Source organism: Homo sapiens, chromosome 10, assembly GCF_000001405.40.
Source record: "Homo sapiens chromosome 10, GRCh38.p14 Primary Assembly".
Lineage (NCBI taxonomy): Eukaryota > Metazoa > Chordata > Mammalia > Primates > Hominidae > Homo > Homo sapiens.
In genome coordinates, this window is record NC_000010.11 from 127,096,131 (window position 1) to 127,118,396 (window position 22,266).

The 22,266-nt window shown below is 44.0% G+C and overlaps 1 protein-coding gene across 24 annotated transcripts in view; it reads left to right on the top strand.

Annotated features, from left to right (window-relative positions):
* Positions 1-22,266, top strand: part of DOCK1 (dedicator of cytokinesis 1) — a 547,089-nt gene that overhangs the window by 190,703 nt on the left and 334,120 nt on the right. For 23 of the 24 annotated variants that reach the window (XR_007061946.1, NM_001377544.1, NM_001290223.2 and 20 more), the window contains 2 exons: positions 10,101-10,171; positions 14,118-14,224. Coding sequence is in view for 23 of the 24 variants with exons in the window: in NM_001377544.1 (NP_001364473.1) it covers positions 10,101-10,171; positions 14,118-14,224 (178 nt within the window). In the remaining variant the exon portion in view is untranslated. Of the gene's footprint in view, positions 1-7,495; positions 7,551-10,100; positions 10,172-14,117; positions 14,225-22,266 lie in introns of all 24 variants that reach the window. The other variant, NM_001377558.1, reaches the window with a different exon arrangement.

Genomic DNA, 22,266 nt, shown 5'->3' on the forward strand with positions numbered 1-22,266 from the left:
GAAGCAATTGTTGCCATCGTCTTTCTTTTTGTTCTGGACTGCTGTCACACACACCATAGAGATGCCTCCTTGAGTGTCTTCAAAGTGCTGTGGATTTCCTTTCTTCAGCCGCCTCCGACCATCACGTCCAGCCATCTGTCCTGTTTGATCAAGTCCGCAGAGTGGGTCGAGGGGCACCAATTGGCAGAACTGGTCTTGGTGCATTTTCCCCTATCAAGTTTATCTGTTTTTCCGGAGGCTGTTTGGCTCTTCCCCAAATCTTCCAAAGACAGAACACTTAAGTCTAAAAGGAGGATTTGTGGACCATATATATTTTAGCTCAAAACCTCCAAGTGGAATCATTTTAATGTGCGTTTTCTTGAGAAATATGTAAATTAATAATTGCTTCATACATTATTCAAGAAAAACTTATTTTGTATCACCCATAACTCTTCTAATCTTATATAAAGATATGCTAATGGATTTAATTAAAATAATTATACTGAATAATGTAGCCTGAACTTTATTCTAAAATAGCATCTATTAATCATCATCATCAGTAATATTTTTAGCCAGAGAGACACTTACAACCTTAAGCTGATACTAGATGGAAAGTGCATTTATTGTTTTATTTTTCAGTTTGGATTAAGTTGGCATTCTCATGAGATCTGGGACAATTACATTTGCTTAGAGACGAGTATAAAATTTATTTCTGGGCCGGGCATGGTGGCTCACCCCTGTAATCTCAGCACTTTGGGAGGCCAAGACAGGTGGATCACGAGGTCAGGAGTTCAACACCAGCCTGGCCAACATGGTGAAACCCCGTCTCTACTAAAAATACAAAAATTAGCTGGGCATGGTGGCACACACCTGTAATTCTAGCTACTCAGGAGGCTGAGACAGGAGAATTGCTTGAACCTGGGAGGTGGAGGTTGCAGTGAGCCAAGATTACACCATTACACTCCAGCCTGGGCAACAGAGTGAGACTCTATCTCAGAAAGGAGAAAAAAAAAATTATTTTATTTCTTTAACCTGAAGTATTTCAGCAATTAGAAAACTTTTAGCCTCTTCTGCCCTTTCCTGTTTCTTCTTTTCCCTCTAAAGCTTTGGTTTCAGTGTGTTCTTGTCCTTTTGGTTCAGTTTTGACCTCAGTTTCCCTCCCAAGAGTTGTGATTGCTGAATACGATGAGTTCCTGATTGCCTGGATATTAAGAGGTGAACCAAATCTTAAGAGGGACACTCAGCAGCCTGCCTGTCTTAATATAAATAGAAATAGTTTTACCACTGGCTGTGATTCTCTCTGATTTTGTTTGTGTTATCTTTCTGTGGCTTGCTGGCTTTCCATCAGTGCTCAATGAATGGTTGGGAGCCCTTATGCATTTGGTGGTAATTTCAGTTTCTCCTTAGGCCTCTCTCATGCCTGAGTGTGCATGGGACCCAGGTATGTGTTCTTGGTGTGTCAGTGGGTCCTGCACACGTGTTGATTGGTCCGAGGACTAAATGCAGGTAGAATCAGACCGTCCCCCCACTGGTGGACAGACGAAAGCTTTACCAAGTTGATAGAATAACATAAGCCAGGACTTAAACTGCCATTAAGTTATTTTACCTAAGTTTAAAATAAAATCTGAAGAAATTACTTGCTTAAATAGCAAACATTTATTTGGTAAGTTCACTTATAACTTAATGAACAGGCGAAGAGTAAAGAAAGCTAAAATCAGTGACTTCCTCTAAATTGTGTATAGAGTACTCTTCTCTGTTCTTGGCTGGGCCAGGCCATAATGGTGTATTCGTACAGTTTCATGGTCCATGGTTCATACCTCTGGGGTTGGGGAGCATAAGTGGGCCTCACTCCAAACTCAGCTCTGTCTTTTGGGGACATCCCACGGACTTTGTCCTCCTTCCCACTTTCGTCCCTCACCCCCAGTGAACTGATTAGTGATTATCCCGCTCTGCTGCAGGGAACCTTGCCAGTGCCTGGGAGGCACCGTGGAGCAGATACCTGCTGAGGGACTGGCATCCTGGCCTCTCACCCACAATTCAAAACAGCTTTGCACATTCTGAGCACAGTTTTATTTAAATAAAGATCTTCACTGATTTACAAAAATAACAAAAGGCAAACAAAAACAGGAAAAATCTTCAATGTCCTCAATTTCTATCACCCTGATCTTTTTTGTGATTTGGGAACTGATTCTACTCAGTATTTGCCACAATGAAGATGGCACTTTACAAATGGAAGTTTGCACCGAATGAAGATTCAGGTTTGAGAGATGTGCACGCTGAGGAGGTTTTCCATGTCAACACGTGCATGGGTCCACACGCTGTCCTGCCGCCACTGCTGCTGGTAGCTGTGGCCAACGTCTGTTGAGCAGGAGCAATGAGTCGAGCTTATCACATGCACAACACGTCATTCCATTCTCCCACAGCCCCTTGAGGCAGGCCCTGTTGATCACCACTGTTTTGCCCATGAGAAGCCCGATAGGAAATGCTACCTTCCCAAATTCACATAGCGAGTGATGGAGGAGCCCGGACAGCACCCCAGAGCCCTGACCTTGTCTACCATGGTGCTGCCTTCCTTTGATGGTGCTGGTTAGGGTCCCCCACATGCATTCATAGATTTTTATTTTTGGAGGTGTCTTTCGGCAGATAAGATTCCACGCAGCACCATCTATCCACAGGGCAGATGTCCCCTGCTTCGTCTGTTGGGTGCTCTGTGTCTTGACAAGCTATTGAGGCAGGAGCTGTTTCCACTCGAAAGAGACCTGAATTTAGTGAAGCAGCCAGACTCCACAGAGGAAACTGAAGGTTTTTCCTGCAAGCACAAGCAGAATCCAAAACACTTGAAACTCTGACAAATAACCAATATTAGAAATGAATCAAGCTAGGTGTGGCTCTTACAATAGTGGGTAATGGAACCCTCCTGCCAAGGAAAGCCAGAGCCTGTGGTAGGAAGGAATCTGAGTTCCCTTTGCATCTTGTCCTTGTCTGGCTAATCAAACTGGATGGGGAAGACAACTTTTTCCCTTAGTTAAGGAGGTGATTTCTGTGGCTGAATGCAGAGAGAGGAATGCTTCTTGAAAATAAAGAGGTCACGACTATATATGAAGTTTGCAGTCAGTTTGGGAGTCATGGAGGGTCGACTTCCCAATGTCCTCTGTGAGGACAGAAGGAGACAAAGCAGACTGAAATAGTCTCTGTCCTTACCTGTGAGGAGCTTATTGTCTATGGGGAATACGGACAAATTGACCTTCCATTGCAGTCCAAATAGGAATGTCTCTAGATGCTGTATTCATCTCTTTTGCGTTGCTATAAAGGATACCCAAGCCTGGGTAACTTATAGAGAAAAGAGGTTTATTTTGGCCCCGGTTCTGCAGGGTGCACAGGAAGCATAGTGCAGTCATCTGCTTCTGGTGAGGGCTTCCAGAAGCTTCTGCTCATGACAGAAGGTGAAGGGGGAGCAGGCGTGTCACATGGCAAGAGAGGGAACAAGAGAGAGCGCAGGGAGGTGCCATTGTCTTAAACCGCCAGCTCTCACGTGAACTAATAGAGCGGGAACTCACTGGTTACTGCGAGGAAGGTATCAAGCCATTCATCTGAAACCCTCCCCTATGACCCAGACACCTCCCACTGTCCCCACCTCCAACACTGGGGATCACGTTTCAGCATGAGAGATGGAGAGGACACACATCCAAACCATATCTGATTCCTAACCTGGCACCTGTGTGTCCTGGACGAAATGATGTCTAAGCTAAGGACTGAGGGGTACCAGAGTCTAACTGTGTGTTTGGGGTGGACTTGGGTGGGGCGGCAGAGCAGTGACTCCAGAAGAGGGAATAGCATGTGCTCAAGCCTCTGAGCTGGCAGAGGGGCCTGGCCCACCTGGGAAACTGGAAGAGGCTCGGCTTGGTGGGAGAGAGTCCTGCAGGTACCAAGGGTGAGTCTGGGGTGGTGGGGCCAGAGCCCATGGCCCTCCATGGGTGTGGGATAGGTTCCCTGTGTCCCATGAGCAGGGGACGTTGCCACAGTATCTAAATTCCATTTGCATTTTCAGAAGGCTGCTCTGGCTGCCCAGTGAGGAGTGTCCTTGAGGGGTCAGCGTGGAGGCAGGGAGGGCGGGTAGGAGGCTGTGGCAGCAAAGCCAATGGGAGGCAGTAGCCGTGCGGCCCAGGTGCTGTTTGTTCCGGGGGGAGTTAACAGCCTGAACCGAGGGCTCTGTCGCTGCCTAGAAGGGGGCTGTGAGGAAGAGAGAACACCCGGTGTGATGCCCAGGCCTGTGGCATGCAGCTGGGGCTTGGCGGTGCAGCGCCTGGCACTGGAATCCCTAGGGAAGGCGAGGCAGCGGTGGCTTCCACCAAGGCAGGGGGAGTTTGCAATGTCTAGGGTCAGCCAGGGTGGACCCCGGTGGGTGTGGGGTGTGGGTGTTGGGCTCAGGAGGAAGGGGAGCCCTGGAGATGGATCAGAATTGGGAGTCATTGGCATGGCAGGAGGTGAGGTCCCTTGTGGGATATGTGGAGGGACCCCGAGGAACCCACAGGCAAGGGGCTGGGGGAGCAGGGCCCTGCGCAGGGAGCTGGAAGGAGGGTGGAGAGGCAGGTGGCCACCCTGGGAGTGAGGGCCACGCGTGCCCCAGAGGTGAGGTGGCCAAAGTGTCATCAGAAAGGCCACTTGAGAACAGCCTGAAGTCATCGTGGCCTTGGCAGGAACAGAGCTGTGGTGCGGGCCGGAGTCAGGCTGCAGTGGGAGTGAGGAGGGGTCGTGTGGGAAGTGGACGCAGGCCTTGCCCACACTGTGGGGTATTGTCCGATGGAGCAGAGGCTCGCAGGGCCTGGGGCTGCTTTTCCGGGTGAGAGGCTGGTGTGGGCTTCATGATAGAAAGCAGGAGGCAGAGGGGTGAGAACTGAAGGCTCTGAGGAGAGAGAGAGGACAAAGGGCAGGAGGGCCTTGAGCAGACAGCAGGGGAAGAGGTTGGAGCCCCACAGGGCAGGCAGGTGCCCCGAAAACCCAAGGCAGGGGCAGAGGTTGGGAGCTGGAGTCTTGTGTTTGGTTTGGGTGGTTGGAAGCTTAGCGAGTTCCTTTCTTGTGGTGGCTTTTGTTTTTCTCTGAAGGAGGTGGTGACATGAGATGGGAGGGGTGGGGGTCAGGCTTGAGAAGAGCAAAGAAAGACTGAGTCAGCCACAGGGGAGAGTGGAGAAGGAGAGGAAACCCGGCCCTTCAGGAGAACAGGTGGACCCACAGTGTAAGACGTGCCTCTCCTCATGTTTCTTCTGAATTCCGTTCTCTCTGTCCTGTCTTTGTTCTGTCACCCAGGACTGATAGCAGATGCGGGTTCCTCCCAGTTCTTGCTAAACCTCATTTACCGAAAGACACAAAATCATCTTGGTCGGTTAAGCAGAATTCTGGTTTAATCAGCATTTTGGGATCACTGGCATTCCATGTCCCCGCCTCAGGGGGCACAACCCCTTCTCTGAGGGTGTCATCATGACATTTTTGATGCTAGGAGCTCGGGAAGACCACGGCAGGGAAGACTTTGGGAGCCCTCGCCCCGCTTGGCGGTCTGTCGGTCCCGATTCACACAGTGTCCGGCAGCCCAAGGGGAGCCAGCAGCAGGTGGGCCATAAAGGCCTGTCTTGTTTGTGGCCGATTCACCCTGGTGAAATGGTATTTATGAACTTGCTACAGGCGGTTGATGCTTTGCTGGGCACAGTATAAAATGCATGAAGCCAGTTCGTGCCTCACCCTCTGGGCGTTCGCAAGCGAAACGAGAGACCGGGAGACTGAGCAATCAGCCTGTGTGAACGCTGGCTATTAAATGTCACAATAAATGTTTTCTGTTTTTTTTCAAAGCAACACTGAGGTTGTGGAAGCAGAACATTTGAAATCAGAATGAAATTATTACGATTTAGTGCTCTTTTGAAAAGTTGCATCCCAAAGCAGACGGTTGGGATCTGGTGGGCCTTGAAGGACAGGGCAAACACTGAGGTGAACAACAGCATGGATCGTTCTGGAGTGGAGATTTATGGGGCTAAAGTTGCTTTATCCTCTACTCTATTTTTGGTGAAGTTGAAGTGTGGCGGTTTTGCAAAATTAGCTTTGGGGCTGCACAGACCAACCCCAAATCCCAGCAGTGCTGACCTGGGCCAAAGACTTCACTTTCACATGTCTCCACTGTCTCCTCCGTGAAAGGGGATAGTAATAGGCCTCCTTCATCAGGTTGCCATGGGGATGTAATGTGTCCATAGAGCCCAGCACCTAGAAACTTGTCTGACAGGTGCAGAATACTTACGTCATAGATGAGGCAACATGAACTCACTTGAAATGACTTGACCTGTGCACCAGAGTTGAGACACCAGCCTGCCATTCTTTCAGTCATTTCCCATCCCAGATAGCTATGGAAATATTCCCAGGTAATATATTCTTAGTCACTTAAAAAATTAAGGTATAGGCTGGACACAGTGGCTCACACCTGTAATCCCAGCACTTTGGGAGGCCGAGGTGGGTGGATCACTTGAGGTCAGGAGTTTGGTTTGGGTGTTGACCAGCCTGGCCAACATGGCGAAACCTCGTCTCTACTAAAAATACAAAAATTAGCCGGGTGTGGTGGCGGGCACCTGTACTCCCAGCTATTCAGGAGACTGAGGCAGAAGAATCACGTGAACCCGGGGGGTGGAAGTTGTAGTGAGCCAAGATTGTGCCACTGCACTCCAGCCCAGGCGGAAGAGTGAAACTCAGTCTCAAAAAAAAAGGTACAATTTACATACAGTAAAATTTATTCTTTTTTAATGTACAGCTCTGCCAGTTTTGACAAAGGCATAATGCATTCATCCCACGGGAGGGCCCCTGAGCCCCCTGTATTCCCCTGCCCGCTTCCCCACCAGCCACTGACATGCTCTCCATTTCTGTAGTTTTGCCTTTTCCAGAATGTTATGAAAATTGAGTCACATGGGATGCAGCCTCTTGCATATGTCTTGTTTTATTTATCACTGTGTCGTTCACGTGCATCTGTGTTCTAGGTAACAGTGGTTGGTGCTTCTTGTTACTGCGTCGAGTTCCATTGTATGAATTCCCCTCTTGAAGGGACATTTGGGTTGTTTCTAGTGTTTGGAGATTACAAATAAAGCTGCTAGAGACGTCCACATAAGGGTTTTGTAACCGTCATAGGTTTCCTGTCCCATGTACGTGCCAAGTCAATGTGCTGCGACTCTGGGTTGCAGCAGAGAAAGAGTTTTAATCGTAGGACCGCCAAAACAGGAGAAGGAGGAAACCTCATATTGTCTGCTGCAGGAGTTTGGGGCTAGGTATTGTTAAGGTTTTCGGAGCAGGCCTAAGTGGGTTGAAGAGCGTGGGGTGAAGGGACAGGGAGATGAAGAAACTGCATTGCATTGCTGATTCCTTTCCTCTGTCGGGGGTTTTCAAACCAGTTGGCAGCAGCAGTTTCCCTGGAATTCAGGATCTGAGAAACACCTTAAGCAATTCTTAAACAAAAGACTTATGATTCTAATGTCAGAAATCCTATCTGCAGGAACGTTGGGGATGCAGATGACCAGTATCTAGTGCTGCGTGACTTTGGATTACGAGTAAGTGGGCTGAAGTGCAGCCTGTTCCGTGCTTAATTATCACTGTATTGCTGTCCAGAGTTCTTGTTAACCTTATGAGGATGCCTTCAGTTTTTGTGAATGTAGGTTTTCACTTCATTTGAGGAGGTGGCCAGGAGTACAATGGCTGGGTGCTACGGATTATGAATGTTTACCTATGAGAAACTGCTGAACTCTCTTCTAAAGTTGCTGAACTATTTTTGCATTCAGACTAGCAGTGTTATACAAAGAGCATGTTGTAGGAATTCTGTTTTGTTTTCATGATTCTTATAGATGTTGCTTGTATCTTATTGTCATTTTAATTTGCATTTCCCTGATGAGTAATGGTGCTGAGTGTCTTTTCAAGTACTTATTTGCCATCCATCTATCTTCTATGGAGAATTGCCTCTTCATCTCTTTTGCCCATTTTGCAGGGAGGGGAAGATTGTTTTCTCATTATTGAGTTTTAAGGGTTCTTTGTGTATTCTGTGTACTAATCTTTAGCAGATATATGATCTCCAGTCATTTTCTCCCTGTGTAGTTCATCTTCTGTTATCTCAGTAGTACCTTTCAAAGAGCAGAAATTCTTTATTTTGATGAAGTCCAATTTATCAATTTTTTCTTTTACACATTGTGCTATTTGTATCATATCTAAGAAATCTTTGCTTAGCCCAAACTCACACGTATTTTCTTCCAAAAGTTTTACAGTTTTTGAAGTTCTACATTTAAGATCGGTGATCTATTTAAAGTTGAGTTTTGTACAGTGTGAGAGAGGAGGGCATGAAGTTTATTTATTTGCTCATGGTACTGTGTACCTTTGTTACAAATCCATCAACCGTCTGTATATGTTCAGGGGAATACTTTTGAAGTGAGTTTCTGCCTACTTGCTTTTGGAGAACAATTGTAAAAATTGTTTCTGTAATTGCGTAGTATTTTCCAGTGTTCAAAGTGTTACCCTATTCATTTTCCAATTTGATTTTGAGCTTTATTGCAATTCCTTGAAGTATCTGGCGTGAATGTTATTTTCCCTCTTACTTAAAGACACAGGTAGAAGGTGGCAGAGCCAGAGTCAGATCACTTAAAATCTGGCAACTTTTCCCAACAGAAGAGAGCAAAGGGACTCAGGGTCTGACTTTCCCCCGACTGAATTTAATTCTAGCTTAGTTCAGTACTAGCTTTGTGAACAGGGACAAAGTAATTAATGTCTCCATTGTTGGTTTTTTCCTCCTTCCTACTCAGCTACCTTCTAATAGGAGGTGATATGGTTTGGCTGTGTCCCCACCCAAATCTCATCTTGAATTGTAGCTCTGATAATCCCCATGTGCTGTGGGAGGGGACCTGTGGGAGGTAATTGAATCATGAGCAGCAGGTTTTTCCTGTGCCGTTCTCATGATGGTGAATAAGCCTCCTGAGATCTGATGGTTTTATAAGGCGCAATTCCCTTGCACAAACTTTGTTGCCTGCTGCCATGTAAGATGTGCTTTTGCTCCTCCTTCACCTTCCACCATGATTATGAGGCCTTCCCAGCCATGTGGAACTGTGAGCCCATTAAACCTCTTTCCTTTATAAATTACCCAGTCTCAGGTATTTCTTCATAGTAGGATGAAAATGGACTAATACAGGAGGTCTGTAAGAATTAAAGATCAAATATACAAGGGTCCTAGCACAGTGTGCAGCATGACAGGATCTATCATTAATATCATTACTCTGTTTTTTGAGGGTGTTTGTTTTCTAGAAGATACATTACTAAAGAACAAAATGATTCATAATTAAAATATATGCAGATATACAGGAAAACATTTTTGGAATGGAACAAAGACAGTTGACTTTAATCATTGAATGTAGAAGAGTTGAAGTGAATTTAATGGAAGAGGATTATTCTGAGGGGGACAGGTCTTCATTTTGCTTTATCCTCACAGAGCTCTGCAGGGGTAAAAGGAGAAAATCACATGCATGCTTAGCACACAGTATAGGCACTTAGGCCACAGGTGATAAGTGTTGGCTTCTGTTAATAATAATTTTATTATGTGTCAGGACAACCTGTGAGAAGTTAGCATTGTTTGAGCATTCTTTGTAGGTTAGAGATTCATTTTCTTTTTTGAGACAGGATCTTGCTTTGTTGCCGGGGCTGGATTGCCATGCTGTGAACACGGCTCACTGCAACCTCTACTTCCTGGGCTCAGGTGATTCTCCTGCCTCAGCCTCCTGAATAGCTGGGACTACAGGTGCAAGCCACCAATGCCTGGCTAATTTTTTTTGTATATTTTTGTAAAGGTGGAATTTCGCCATGTTACCCAGGCTGGTCTCGAACTCCTGAGCTGAAGCGATCTGCCTGCCTCAGCCTCCCAAAGTGCTGGGATTACAGGTGTGAGCCACTGCGCCTGATGACTTTTGTTCTTTGCTCTATTTTCATCGTGTTAGCCGTCAGCCCCTCATCTGGAAGTGATCTTTCTCTTCTCAGTATTTCTGCGGTTCTTCTCATAAGGATTACAAATTGGTATGAACACTCCCTAACCTGCATGCTGCTCAGCCTTCTTGTTTCTTGATTTGCAGGGGGCAGCACTGAAATACTTACCAACGATCGTCAACGATGTGAAATTGGTGTTTGATCCCAAAGAGCTCAGGTAAGTATGCAGCCCAGGCGAATGCTTGTCACGTGCCGTGTGTGACCTCCTTCTCAGTGTGCTTAGTTTATGGGATGCTCAGGGTTCTGCCTCATGTCTCCATATGTCAGTGCCCTGGATCATTCTGGAACATGTGTTGCTGGTGGTGTCTGTGACTCTTTGATAATCATGACATTATGTGGAAAAGGTATCACCAGTCAACTATGACAACATTTTTTAAGAAGATTGTTTACAGTCTAATTGGTATATAATGTCCATTTGGCATTTTGCATACTTTGAGGTTTGAATTTCAGTATGTGGTTGTTGGTTTTGCTCTTGTTTTCAGCACCTAAAAATCCTGACATAGGAGCTTTAATATTCCTGCGCCGGCTTCTGCTTCTGTAATAGAGGCAACTCCTCTTTGGGAGGGGCCCTGAGCCTCAAGCAGAAGACTCAGAAGTTACTAAGAAAATAATTTTTAGAAAACCCCACAAACAAACTTTGAGAAAGCTGGTCACTGGGCTTTCAGACCAAGGAGTGAGATTGGACACCAAATCCTTCCTTTTCTCTCCCTAACTTGCCGCCTCTCAGTGGCCAGGTGTGCTGTTTGTTTCCTAATCTGTTGGTATCACTGCATTCTGAAAGTGCCATTGTGAGCAAATGGGATACACAGCCTTTTTAATTTATTTTTTAAGAGATAGGGGTCTCACTCTGTTGCCCAGGCTGTAGTGCAGTGGCGCGATCATAGCTCACTGCAGCTTCAAACTCCTGGCCTCAAGCACCCCTCCCGCCTCTGCCTTCAAAGCACTGGAATTACCGACGTGCGCCACCGCTCCCACCCCAGGGATGCACAGTCGTTTAAACCCCAGACATTCAATAGCACAGTCCTCAACTACTTTTTGTTTTGGTTTTGATTTGACACAATAAACTACCTGTGGGTGAAGACACCATTTTTTACCGGCCAATGAAGCCCTCCTAAATATTAGTAAAGGGCCATCTGTCCACTGAGCGGTGAAACGGAATAAAAAATGATTATCCTTCCTGTACTTTATGTCTACCATAGGTCACTCGTGCCCTGGAATTGAAGGGCGAGGGGCTCTCTGGGAGGCGCTGTCCCCCACGAATCATTGTGAATCTGATGTTCCCTAGGATTTAGTGTCCTGCAGGGAAACATTTATTTTCTGCTCCCAGGGCACCAACAGTGCTGGTCATAAGCTTAGCAGGTCCTACATGAGAAAAGGAGAAACACACAGGCTCACGGGCGGTGTCTGCCCACCTGGCGCGCTGTAGAGTCCTCTCCTTGGCACATGCTTCTCCAAGAGCGGGCCCCAAAATGGCAGCTCCGGTAGCCCTTGGGAACTTGTTAGAGAAAGCCAAACTTTGGCTTCCTCCCCAGACCTTCTGAATTAGAAACTGCACAGTGGGGCCTGGTCATTTGATTTTAACAACCTCCCTCCCCGTGCAGGTGCTTCCAGGGCTCTCTCATATTTTAGTAGCTCAGGTCTTGAAAAACTGAGAGGAAGCAGAGAAAGCTGCAACTGGTGTGGGCTGTGGCCATACTCTAGGCCTGTCTCATGGTGCACACAGATCAGCTCCGCACCCGCGGAGGGGTATCGTCGATACTCTCAGTTTGCGCTTGAGCCGGGCCTGTCCTCACTGTACGCACAAATTAGCCCCTCACCGATGGAGGGTATCATTGACGCTCACAGTTTGTGGTTGAGCCGTGTGCTTGGAGGTCCTAGGAAGACCTGCTTGGCCAGGGCCGATGCAGGCTGCTGCTGGCCTCTCTCAGATTTGTGCATCCCTGTGTTCCTCCTCAATGCCTGTTACACTGATTTTTAAAAATGACATTGAAAATCACATACATATTTGTTTCTATTTAGAAAATTGGTTCATGTTTTAATAAACAGAAGAGATGACAGAAGAGGGTAACTCAAACTTAAGTCCACTACCCAAAAGAATCAGAAAGTGCTGGATCCCTTACACACATACGTACACACACACTTAAAAAAGTCACCATTTTTTGGTTAGGCATGGTGACTCACGCCTGTAATCCCAGCACTTTGGGAGGCCGAGGGGGACAGATCATGAGGTCAGGAATTCGAGACCAACCTGGCCAGCATGGTGAAACTCCATCTCCACTAAAGATACAAAAAATTAGCTGGGCATGATGGCGGGTGCCTGTAATCCCAGCTACTCAGGAGGCTGAGGCAGGAGAATTGTTTGAACCCAGAGGCAGAAATTGCAGTGAGCCTGGATCGCGGCATTGTACTCCAGCCTGGGTGACAGGGCAAGACTCTGTCTCAAAAATAAAAAAAAGAAAAGTCACCATTCTTTGTGATCAGCTCCTGCACTTAAGACATCTTCCTCTCCCATGCCACGAGGGCATCTTCTGCATCATCATTGTTAGTAACTTTCATGCCGATCCATCCCATGCTGGCCTATCTTTAAGCAGCAACAATAGACGCAGCATCTATTATGTGCTTTCACCATGTAAAATAGGTTTTGCACAAAGCACTTGTATTAGTCCATTAATCTTTACAACAATGGTATGACATAGGTTCTATTGTTAGCCGAATTTTATCCTCAATAACTTGTCCATGATAATTCAGCTGGTAAATGGCAGTGGTTCAAGGCCAACCCGGGCTTTTTGAATACAAAGAACAGGCCTCTAGCTACTGTGCTACCTGATGGCTGTTGAGTTGTATTCAAGTTTTTTTAAAAAAAATATATTATAAAATGCTAGGATAAAATTTCCTGTAGCTTAATTGTAGTTTCTGCTCCTATTTTATATCATTAGGATAAAAAGAGAAATGGCATTACTTGGTTTTGCATTTTCTTAAAGGATTTTCAGTAGATTTTATCTACTCGTCCCCCTCCAGAAGGTAAAACCAACATTCTACCAGTATACGTTGGTGTCTGTTTTCCCAAAATATTGCTGGTACTGGGAATTACCATTTTATAGAACCTTGCCAGTATGACTGGTGAAACCGTATCTGCCCATTTTAATTTGTGTTTATGTAGTTACTAACAAGAGCTCTTCTAAAATTTCTTCATAGGTCTGTTAGCCTTTTGTAAAAGTGTATTTTTAAAAAATTGCTTTATTGTGGTATTATTTACAAACGATAAAGTCACCTATTGTAGACGGTTCAATTCAGTGGTTTTTAGTATATTTACGAAGATGTGCAGTGATCACCAGAGTCCAATTTTAGAACATTTTTATAACCCCAGCAAGATCCCAGTGTCCATTTCTGGTCATTTTTCCTTCCTAGCCCAGGTAACCCCGAATCTCTTTTCTCTCTCTACACATTTGTGTTTTCTGGGCATTTTACAGAGCTGGAATCATACAACGTGTGGCCTCTGTACTGGCTTCTTCTACTTAGCATAAAGTTTTCAAGGTTTCTCCATGTTTTAGCATCAGTGCCTCCTTGTTTTTGGAAATGAATTGTGTGGCTATACTGCATTTTGTTCATCCATTCATTAACTGATGGACTTCGTGTTTTTTTTACTTTTTCAGTATAATGAACAATGCCACTTGGATTCATGGACAAATTGTTGTGTGGATATATGTTTTCATTTTTTCTCGGGGAGGTGGTATATGCCTGGAAGTGGATGGTGACTATGTTTGACATTTTGAGGAAATGCCTAACTGTTTTCCAAAGTGGCTGTGCTGTGTTACCTTCCCACCAGCTTGGTGTGACTGTTCTCATTTCATTATATCTTTACCAACACTTGTTATTGTCTGTCTTTTGGATTATAGGCACGTTAGTGATTGTGAAGTGAAAACGAACACTTTCAAAACATCATTTCTTGGAATGAGTTATTGACCCCATAGTGCATGAGAGGCTGTGTTGAACATACTGGTGACATTAATGACCATGTGATGACCTATATCTCAGTATTGTAACAACATTGGATCCTTTTGCTATGTGTCTCAAAATTATTTCCCTTGTGTTTTTCCTCACAGCAAAATGTTTACTGAATTCATCCTCAATGTTCCCATGGGCTTGCTGACCATCCAGAAACTCTACTGCTTGATCGAAATCGTCCACAGTGACCTCTTCACACAGCATGGTGAGTGGAACCCCAAGAATTATTCACTTGTCCTGTTATTTATTTTCTGAAGACATTGACCCTCTGAATTGCCTCTTCTTGACAAAAGGAGTAGAGGCTGCAACCAATTAAAACTGCTGTATTACAAGACAGGAAGATTTAGCCCTTACAAGAGAAGGGTAATTGACATGTAATGCAGGTAATAGATCATTGAGAAATGAAGGCAAAAGCTCGTAGTTTGTAATTTAGGTATACACCAAAGTCCTAGGGTAATCAGCATACATTGTAGCCTTTAAGATATGTGGTTGTCTGTCCTGGGGAGGCAATCACTTCGCTCCATTGTGATGATTGCAAGGAAAAGAATTCGAGTTTTCTTTAAATCTGAAAGTAATGGTTTTATCTTATTCTGAACTTTGCATTCTTTGACAGCATTTCTTCAAATCCTACTCAAAGTAATAAGAATTTCAATGATTCTTCAACTCATTTATCCTGCAGAACACTTTATATTTCCCTATGTTATCTCCCTGCCCTTTTTAGTAATCATTTTTTTTCTATTTGGACAGATTAAATTAATATTTTACCCTTGTCAAGCAGTTTTATTGAAAGCTTAAAACCTCTGCATAATTCCACAAACTTCCTCATTTATTGGAGGCAAATGTGAAGTCTGTTGAGTGACATTCTGACTGAGAAGCATGGATTTATTCGATTCCATTTGTGCCTGGACATTTGGCTGCTCCATTCATTTTCTGTTGTCCTCATTCTTGGTGTTGTTCTCAGTTCCCCTGTGCTTTCACGGATCCCAGACTTGGGATGTCCCTGTTAAGTTACGGGCTGGGTTTGGAACACACTCTGTGCTTGGCTTGGTCCTTTGTGCCTTCTGGGATGCGAATTTTAATCTTCTTTCTTGGCTTAACCTTATAAAATGCACCAGAGTGTACACGTGTTGCTAAGGCTAATATTGAAAGAAAATGTTGACTTCATTTAGGTGAGAGTGTTCTTCTCTAGAAAAAAACACATCAAACCAAGAAGTGGGTGACTTTCTGCAGCCCCTCCATGTAGACCTCTCTCTTTAGTCAGAAACCACTTCTTACTTTCATAAAAGAAAGTCAGTTCTCACCATGGTCTGGGACTCAAAGCACATGACGCTCCATTGAGCTATTATTCCTGACTGTCCATATTTCAGTTTCTCACTGGAAACTGAATTGCCCACTCACCAGGTGTTTTCCAAGACTTGGGTACTCTAGGGGGCTTAAGGAAAGGCTGATGATAGAGGTGATGGCCAGGCACCCTGCTTCAGGGTTTCCTCCTACAGTGAATAAGCTTTGTACCACAGCAAGTAAAATCCTCCGAAAATTTTATATCTGGGTCTTATTAGGTGGGTTACTGATGCTCCTAACCATTCAATGCCAAGACACACACAGCGACATACTGCATCACCAGCACTACCGTCATCAGTATCTTCATCAAATTAACAGCTGTCAATGAGTGTCAACCGTCCATGAATAACAATTGTTGTAAATTGTCGATGAATTGTGCTTGATTTTTCTTAAGTGTTGATTTAACGAAGATCTTCTTCAGGATATATTTACATATATTTTTAAATTTCTGTTGCAAAACTTTGTTCTGTATGTCATTTAGTTTCTTTGAATAAGGATGTAAGCCATGAAAGATTCAATTAGATTTTTTTTTTTTTTTCGAGACATAGTCCTGCGCTGTTGCCGAGGCTGGAGTGCAATGGCACAATCTCAGCTCCCTGCAACCTCCGCCTCCTGGGTTCAAATGATTCTCCTGCCTCAGCCTCCTGAGTAGCTGGGATTATAGGCACCCACCACCATGCCTAGCTAATTTCTGTATTTTTAGTAGAGATGGGGTTTCACCATGTTGGTCAGGCTGGTCTCAAACTACCGACCTCAAATGATCCACCCGCCTCGGCCTCCCAGAGTGCTGGGATTACAGGCGTGAGCCACCGAGCCTGACCCCAGATATTTTTTCCTCTATTAAAACTTGCTCATTTCTTTAGGTCGTAGAAAGCTTGAAGGAAACTTACTGTTTATATTCGATGATTTTGTTAGCTTAGGTGTTTGTAATTGTGTTCTGTCCCTCTTTCCTATGCCCCATTTCTGTTTCATTCTTGTTCTCTAAGCCTTTTATCTTAGACAGCCTGAAGTCCTGTTTTGGAAGTATGCAGGATGTGAATAACTGCTTAGCTTTGTTTAATATGGAATTACCAGGTCATGTAATATTTTGAAATAATTAACCTGCTGTCATCTTTTTAAGTACGGAATTAGGATTTTGATCTTAGTATAAGCAAGTTGTACCCAATGTAGTAAATGAGGTTGTATGAAATATATGAATCCCAAATTATTGTGGGCTAAATGAACCAAAATTAGCCCGAAGCTTCGTGTCTTACAAGCAGCCCCAGAATTGCCCCATCAGTAGAAGTTGTCTAAGCTGTAACTGGCAGCTCAAATGTACTTCTAAATGCTTAGTGGTTGCCTAGAAGCATTTCGGAATGCTTTGGCCAACGTGAAAATGGTCCCATTTACTGTCTTTGAGTTTTAAGCGTTTTTCTTAAAACAACCTGTTTTTCTCATCTGCAAGCTCTCTGCTTGTTCAAAGCAGCCAACAGACATCTTACCTCCTGGTCAGGAGAGATTTATCACCAGAAATCTTCCAGTTGGTCCATTCTTACAAAAGATGTCATTACTTTTGCAAAATATTCTGTGCCACCTTTGGTATAACAATTTAAAGCCAAACTGTTTTCTGATGAGACATGTTGAATCTGATTTTCATGCTTTTTTCCTGTTTCTTGTTAATTTGTACAAATGTGGTTGTTTTTGTCCTGTTTCCTGATCCCAGTGGAATCAGTCAAATGAACTCTCTTTGTGTTCAGATTTCTAGAACTTGGTATAACTGGATTTAGCTGCATGTGCCACTGAATGCACTTGCCCTTAGTAAACATCCTCTGGAGGATGTGTTCAGAATGTGTCACTGTATGTGTCCTCCAGGCTCCTTCGTGGGGGCTCCCTGGGTGAAGTGAGATTCCCAAGTCTTTGCTTCTCAGCTTGTGTGTTGCCTTACTCACTGAAAGAGACCCACTGGTTGCTTTGCACTAAAACATTTCTTTTTATCTCCGCCTGATATAATGACAAGTAGATCTGTTTGCAAGAGGCTGGCAGTGAATTCTGAAACTGGTGTTGTTCCTCTGCAGAAAAGCCTTTCGTTGCCAGGTCTGGGTCCCAGTAGGCCAGGCCTTACAGTGCCTTGGTTGTTTCTGGCCTTGTTTTCCCCATTTCTCTCTCTTGGAGAACATGGAAACCGTAGGTGCATCCTGAGTTTGTTGGGCTTCATAGGAGGCACGTCTTTGGGCTTGTCAAAGCAAGACAGCTCTGTGTGGTCCAGTCCATGTGGGACTGGCCTGAATGAGGACACCAGGCCTGCGTCACTGCGGCCATTTGCTCACAGAGCATTCAGCCTTCCTCTGCCCTTCTGTTCTATCCAGGCCCTCAAGGATTAGATGATGGCCACCCACACTCTGCAGGATGGACATGCTTGACTCAGTCCCCCAATCCCAATGCTAATCTCTGCTGGAAACATCCTTACAGACACACTCAGAAATAATGTTCAGCCAGCTCTCTGGGCATCCGTGGTGCAGTCATTTGGCATTTAAAATTAACCATCACAGAGTATTTCTTCCAAGAGGCCTGTGATTGCCCTGCTTAAAAAGCCCCCTACATGCCACCTCATGGCTCCTCATGGCACGCCCCCCATGTGGAATCATTGTATTTCTTACTTGCTTATTTGTAGGCCTTCCATAGGATGAGAACTTTCCAAGCTGGGCCTTGTTCATCTAGATTTTGCTCTTCTGCTGGTACCTAGCGCATGCCTGGCTTCAGCATGCCTGTAATGGATATTTATTGAATGAATGAAATGCTTATGGGTATTCCTAACCAGGAGGCAGTACAGAGAAAGAAGCAGGACCAGCTACACACATGTGTAGTTGACTTGATTGAAGGGAGGTAAAGGTTTGGATTCACATGGGGAAATTGGCAATCTTTCCTTGTCTTAGCATTGAATGAATTGATCATAGGGGAGAAAGGAGAGGTCTTAGAGGAGGAGTAACATCAGGAGCAAAGGGAGAGGGAGAAGAGTGAGAGACTTGAGGTGTGAAGAGTCTTCTCTGAGCAGTTTTATAAAATCAAGATGCTCTTCTATTTGCATCTGATCTAATCATTCCTGTTTTCTGGAAATAGGAGGGGGGTGCAGTTCAGATCTGTGCATTCAAGATACCTTTTGGCTATACCTTTGGCTAAAACTATGGAAAATTTCAAATATACAGGAGGGCAGAGAGAAGAGAGTAATGCATGCCAGTGTACTCATCACTCAGCTCCACAAATTATCAACTCATGATCCTTTTTTTTCTTTCTTTTTTTTTTTTTTTTGAGATGGAGTCTTGCTTTGTTGTCAGGCTGGAGTGCAGTGGCACGAACTTGGCTCACTGCAACCTGTGCCTCCCGGGTTCAATCGATTCTCCTGCCTCAGCCTCCTGAGTAGCTGGTACTACAGGCGCATGCCACTACACTCAGCTAATTTTTGTATTTTCAGTAGAGACGCGGTTTCACCGTGTTGGCTGGGATGGTCTTGATCTCTTGACCTCGTGATCCACCCTCCTCAGCCTCCCATAGTGCTGGGGTTACAGGCATGAGCCACCGCGCCCGGCCAGTCCATCTTTTCTTATCTATATGCCCGTCCCCCAGATATTTTGAGGCAAATCTCTGCCATCACAGCATTCCATTTTTTGTCATTTTAAATGTATGGTGGTAATACAGAGGGCAAACAGTGTTCCTAAGAAGAGGTTGTGCAGAGGAGCTGATCCCCATGCTGATAAGGCATCCACCTTGGATGTTCCCACCCCTGGCCCTTTGCTGAGGTAGAGGGCCTGTGATGCATTAGCATACTGTGTGTGAGTCAGTGAATGGGCAGTGTGTGTGAGAGTCAATAGGCTGTGATGGCTTTAAGCTTTGTCTCGCCATGTGACTTGACTACTTGAAAGCTGGTTGATAGATTACATGCTTCACCAAAAGATGACTCTTGCATATAATCTGTGGTGTGGAGTGAGCAGATTTTCAAAGCAAGATAGATACAAAGAGAAGGAAAAGTCAAAGCTTCATCATTTGTGCATTTGTAGCTTTGTTTCCATGTGATTATATTGTTGCCCACATAGCTGACAAAAGCTGTGAAAATTAAAGCTTAAATCTTATAGAAATGAAAAGTTTTAGTGTAATTAAACACTAGAACACTGACGTTTAGGATTTAAGCTCACAAAATTGTGTAACATTAATGTTATAGAAATTGGAATAAAATGAATCAAGCTGAGCTAACATTGACTTTTAAGTTAGTAAAGAGCATTGGCTATACTTGTAAGAAGCCTTTGAGTGGAGGTGAGAGTCCTCCTGGAACATGTTCTCTCACCCACTGGCCCCTTTCTGAATCTGACAGCTTTGGGAAGCTTGTTTCAATGAACACTGGGTCACTTATTTGCTTTGCAAGGTATAATTTTTCCATATTCCCATTTCTATAGTGGCCAAAGCAGTGGACAGGTTTTCTTTGGAGCTTACTGTGTACTTATCATTTTGTCCTCACTTAGTTTGTTTTGGATGGGAGTATGAGACTTTGAGAGTAAATTTTAGTGGTAAGGCTACCCCTTTTTGGTCTTGCAAATAGTTGGATACTCTAGATAGATTGCTTTTCTGTAAGCCTGCTCTGTGTAGTTTTCTGTTTGTCTGTTTGTTGTTTTTCTGGTGGTTGGACTCTGGCAGTGAGTAGGAATGGGAAAGAGGCCATTCCCTCATACCCTGGCTCTCCTGGGGCTCCTCCCTTCACTATAGCAAACAGGCTCCTTGTAGACAGTGTTCATGAGTCTTTTCAAACTTCATTTGCTTTCATTTTTGAGCTTCTTGAAAGTGTAAGCCTGGTAAGTTTAAATTATTTTCCTTATTCTTATTTTCAAGGTGAATGATTCTTCTAGTTATCAAGCAGAGTAAAACTCTCCTTTTTAATGGTGGAAACATTAGTTACAGCAGCCCTTTGAAATCTGAGGGCAAAATCCCAGACACTTACTGGGACTAGCTATTAGGAAATATTGAAGTCAGATTTCTACACTATTATCATTGTGATTTGATCCATGATAGAAATTTATATCTCAAAAATTACCCTATTAATAAACTTATTATGCCTTAAATTATAGAAAAGTTGCGTGTTTAAAACAAACCCATAATATACCTTCTTAATGTTTTGATAAAAGCATTTTTGATTAAAAAAACCAAAATAAAATCTCTTGAGCTTTACTGTTGTGGAAAATAGAAATATATCGAAAGGGATCTTAAACCTGGAGCTACTCTGCAGTAGTTTTGTTAACTTGATAGATGTTGTGCAGAAGGAAAAATTGGGGTTGGGGTCAATTTTGCCACATTCACTTAATGTACCACTCATATAGCATTCTGCAGTACTTTAATTAGATAGTTGTGCTGATGACTTCTGATGAACGGTACCAGCTGTGAACCCTGAAGACTGATTCTTTTAAATAATGGTGGAATGTAAACATCATTTTCTCTTCTGTTTCTTTCATGCCTTGAGAAAACTTTTTATCTGTAATACTGCACCTTTTTCATCCCTCATTCTGTATATCATTCTCTGTCTTTCATTATATATGTTTTTGAAAAGACCATTTGTTATAACACTGCAGGATTTTAGAAATGACTTATTGAATGTAGGAGGGTGAACTCAATTTCAGGTTTTTAATTGTTTCTGTTTCAATTCCATCATAATTCATTGAATATCTTCCGTGTGCTCAGAACCATTGATTAGCGAGTTTGCTTCCTTTGAGAGTCTTCAGAGTCATCTACTTAAAAATGTAGAATTGGAAAAGAGTGATTATCTCAATGCTCAGATAAGGACACCAGAGTTCAGCCAGAAGCCTGGCAGGGAGCTGTCCACCGCCGTGGTGCTGATTGAGGAGGTGGCTTCTTACAAATCTATCAGCCCACTCTTTTCTTAAACTGTTTCACACCCACCATATGAGTAATGCATTCTGAAAACTGAATTTACTTCAAATGCCATATGGAGCAAGACAAAATACAAATAAGTGAATAAATAAACATACAAATAAATTAAATGTATAAAGTATACAGTGTTGTGCTTATATGTTCATGGAGTTTTAATAGTTTTTCTCTTCTTTCTGTGTGGGACCTTTATCTGTGATCAAATTGGTGGTGCCAACAGTTTATGGTATAGTTGGTGTAAACTTTATCATCGTCTGTTGAGTTCTGCTGTCACTTCTGGGTGGGCTTCTGTTCCTGTTGCTGGATGTTGAATGCAAGAAGAACGATCTGAGAAGAGACTGTGTTGGTTGTGCTGTATTTAGTCATGTGCACACTGGGCACCAGGAAAGCAAGTCCCTGAGTCTCTTTAGTACATGATTTCTTCTAGCTCCTGGTAGCTGATTTCTGTAACTGCATGATGTGTTGTCTACAGTAACTAGCCTGGGACAGTGGAAAGAGCCCCAGGTCAGCATGCAGTCTCCTAGGTTCTGCTTTAGGACCTCTGTCTTTTCTTGGGCATAAACTCCTCCCTGGGTGCACAGTCCTTCCGCTAAGATGAACTGCAACACAATATAGGGTTTTGACATATGTATTTTATTGTCAGAGCAACCAGGAGGGGAGTTTGTGCAGGACCACATGGGCCAAGACCTATGTTTTTTTGCTACCTTTATTCTCCTGGTTTAAAAAATACCCACCATTCCACAGCCCTGTATATTCTCTCTCAGTTTTCTCATCCTCCATGTGGTGAGATCCTGCCTGCAGACTGACAGCCCTGTAAATTCTTTCTGAACTTAACACAAGCCACATCCTTGATGTACCCCCTTCCACCTAGAAAACAGACTTCCTGCCTGACCAATTCTTCTCACACAGTGTTTTCTGCATTTTTCTTGCATCTTGCCAATTTTTTCATCTACTGATAAATGGGACTCATTTGCAATTTTTCTCCATTGGCTCTTCTTTAAT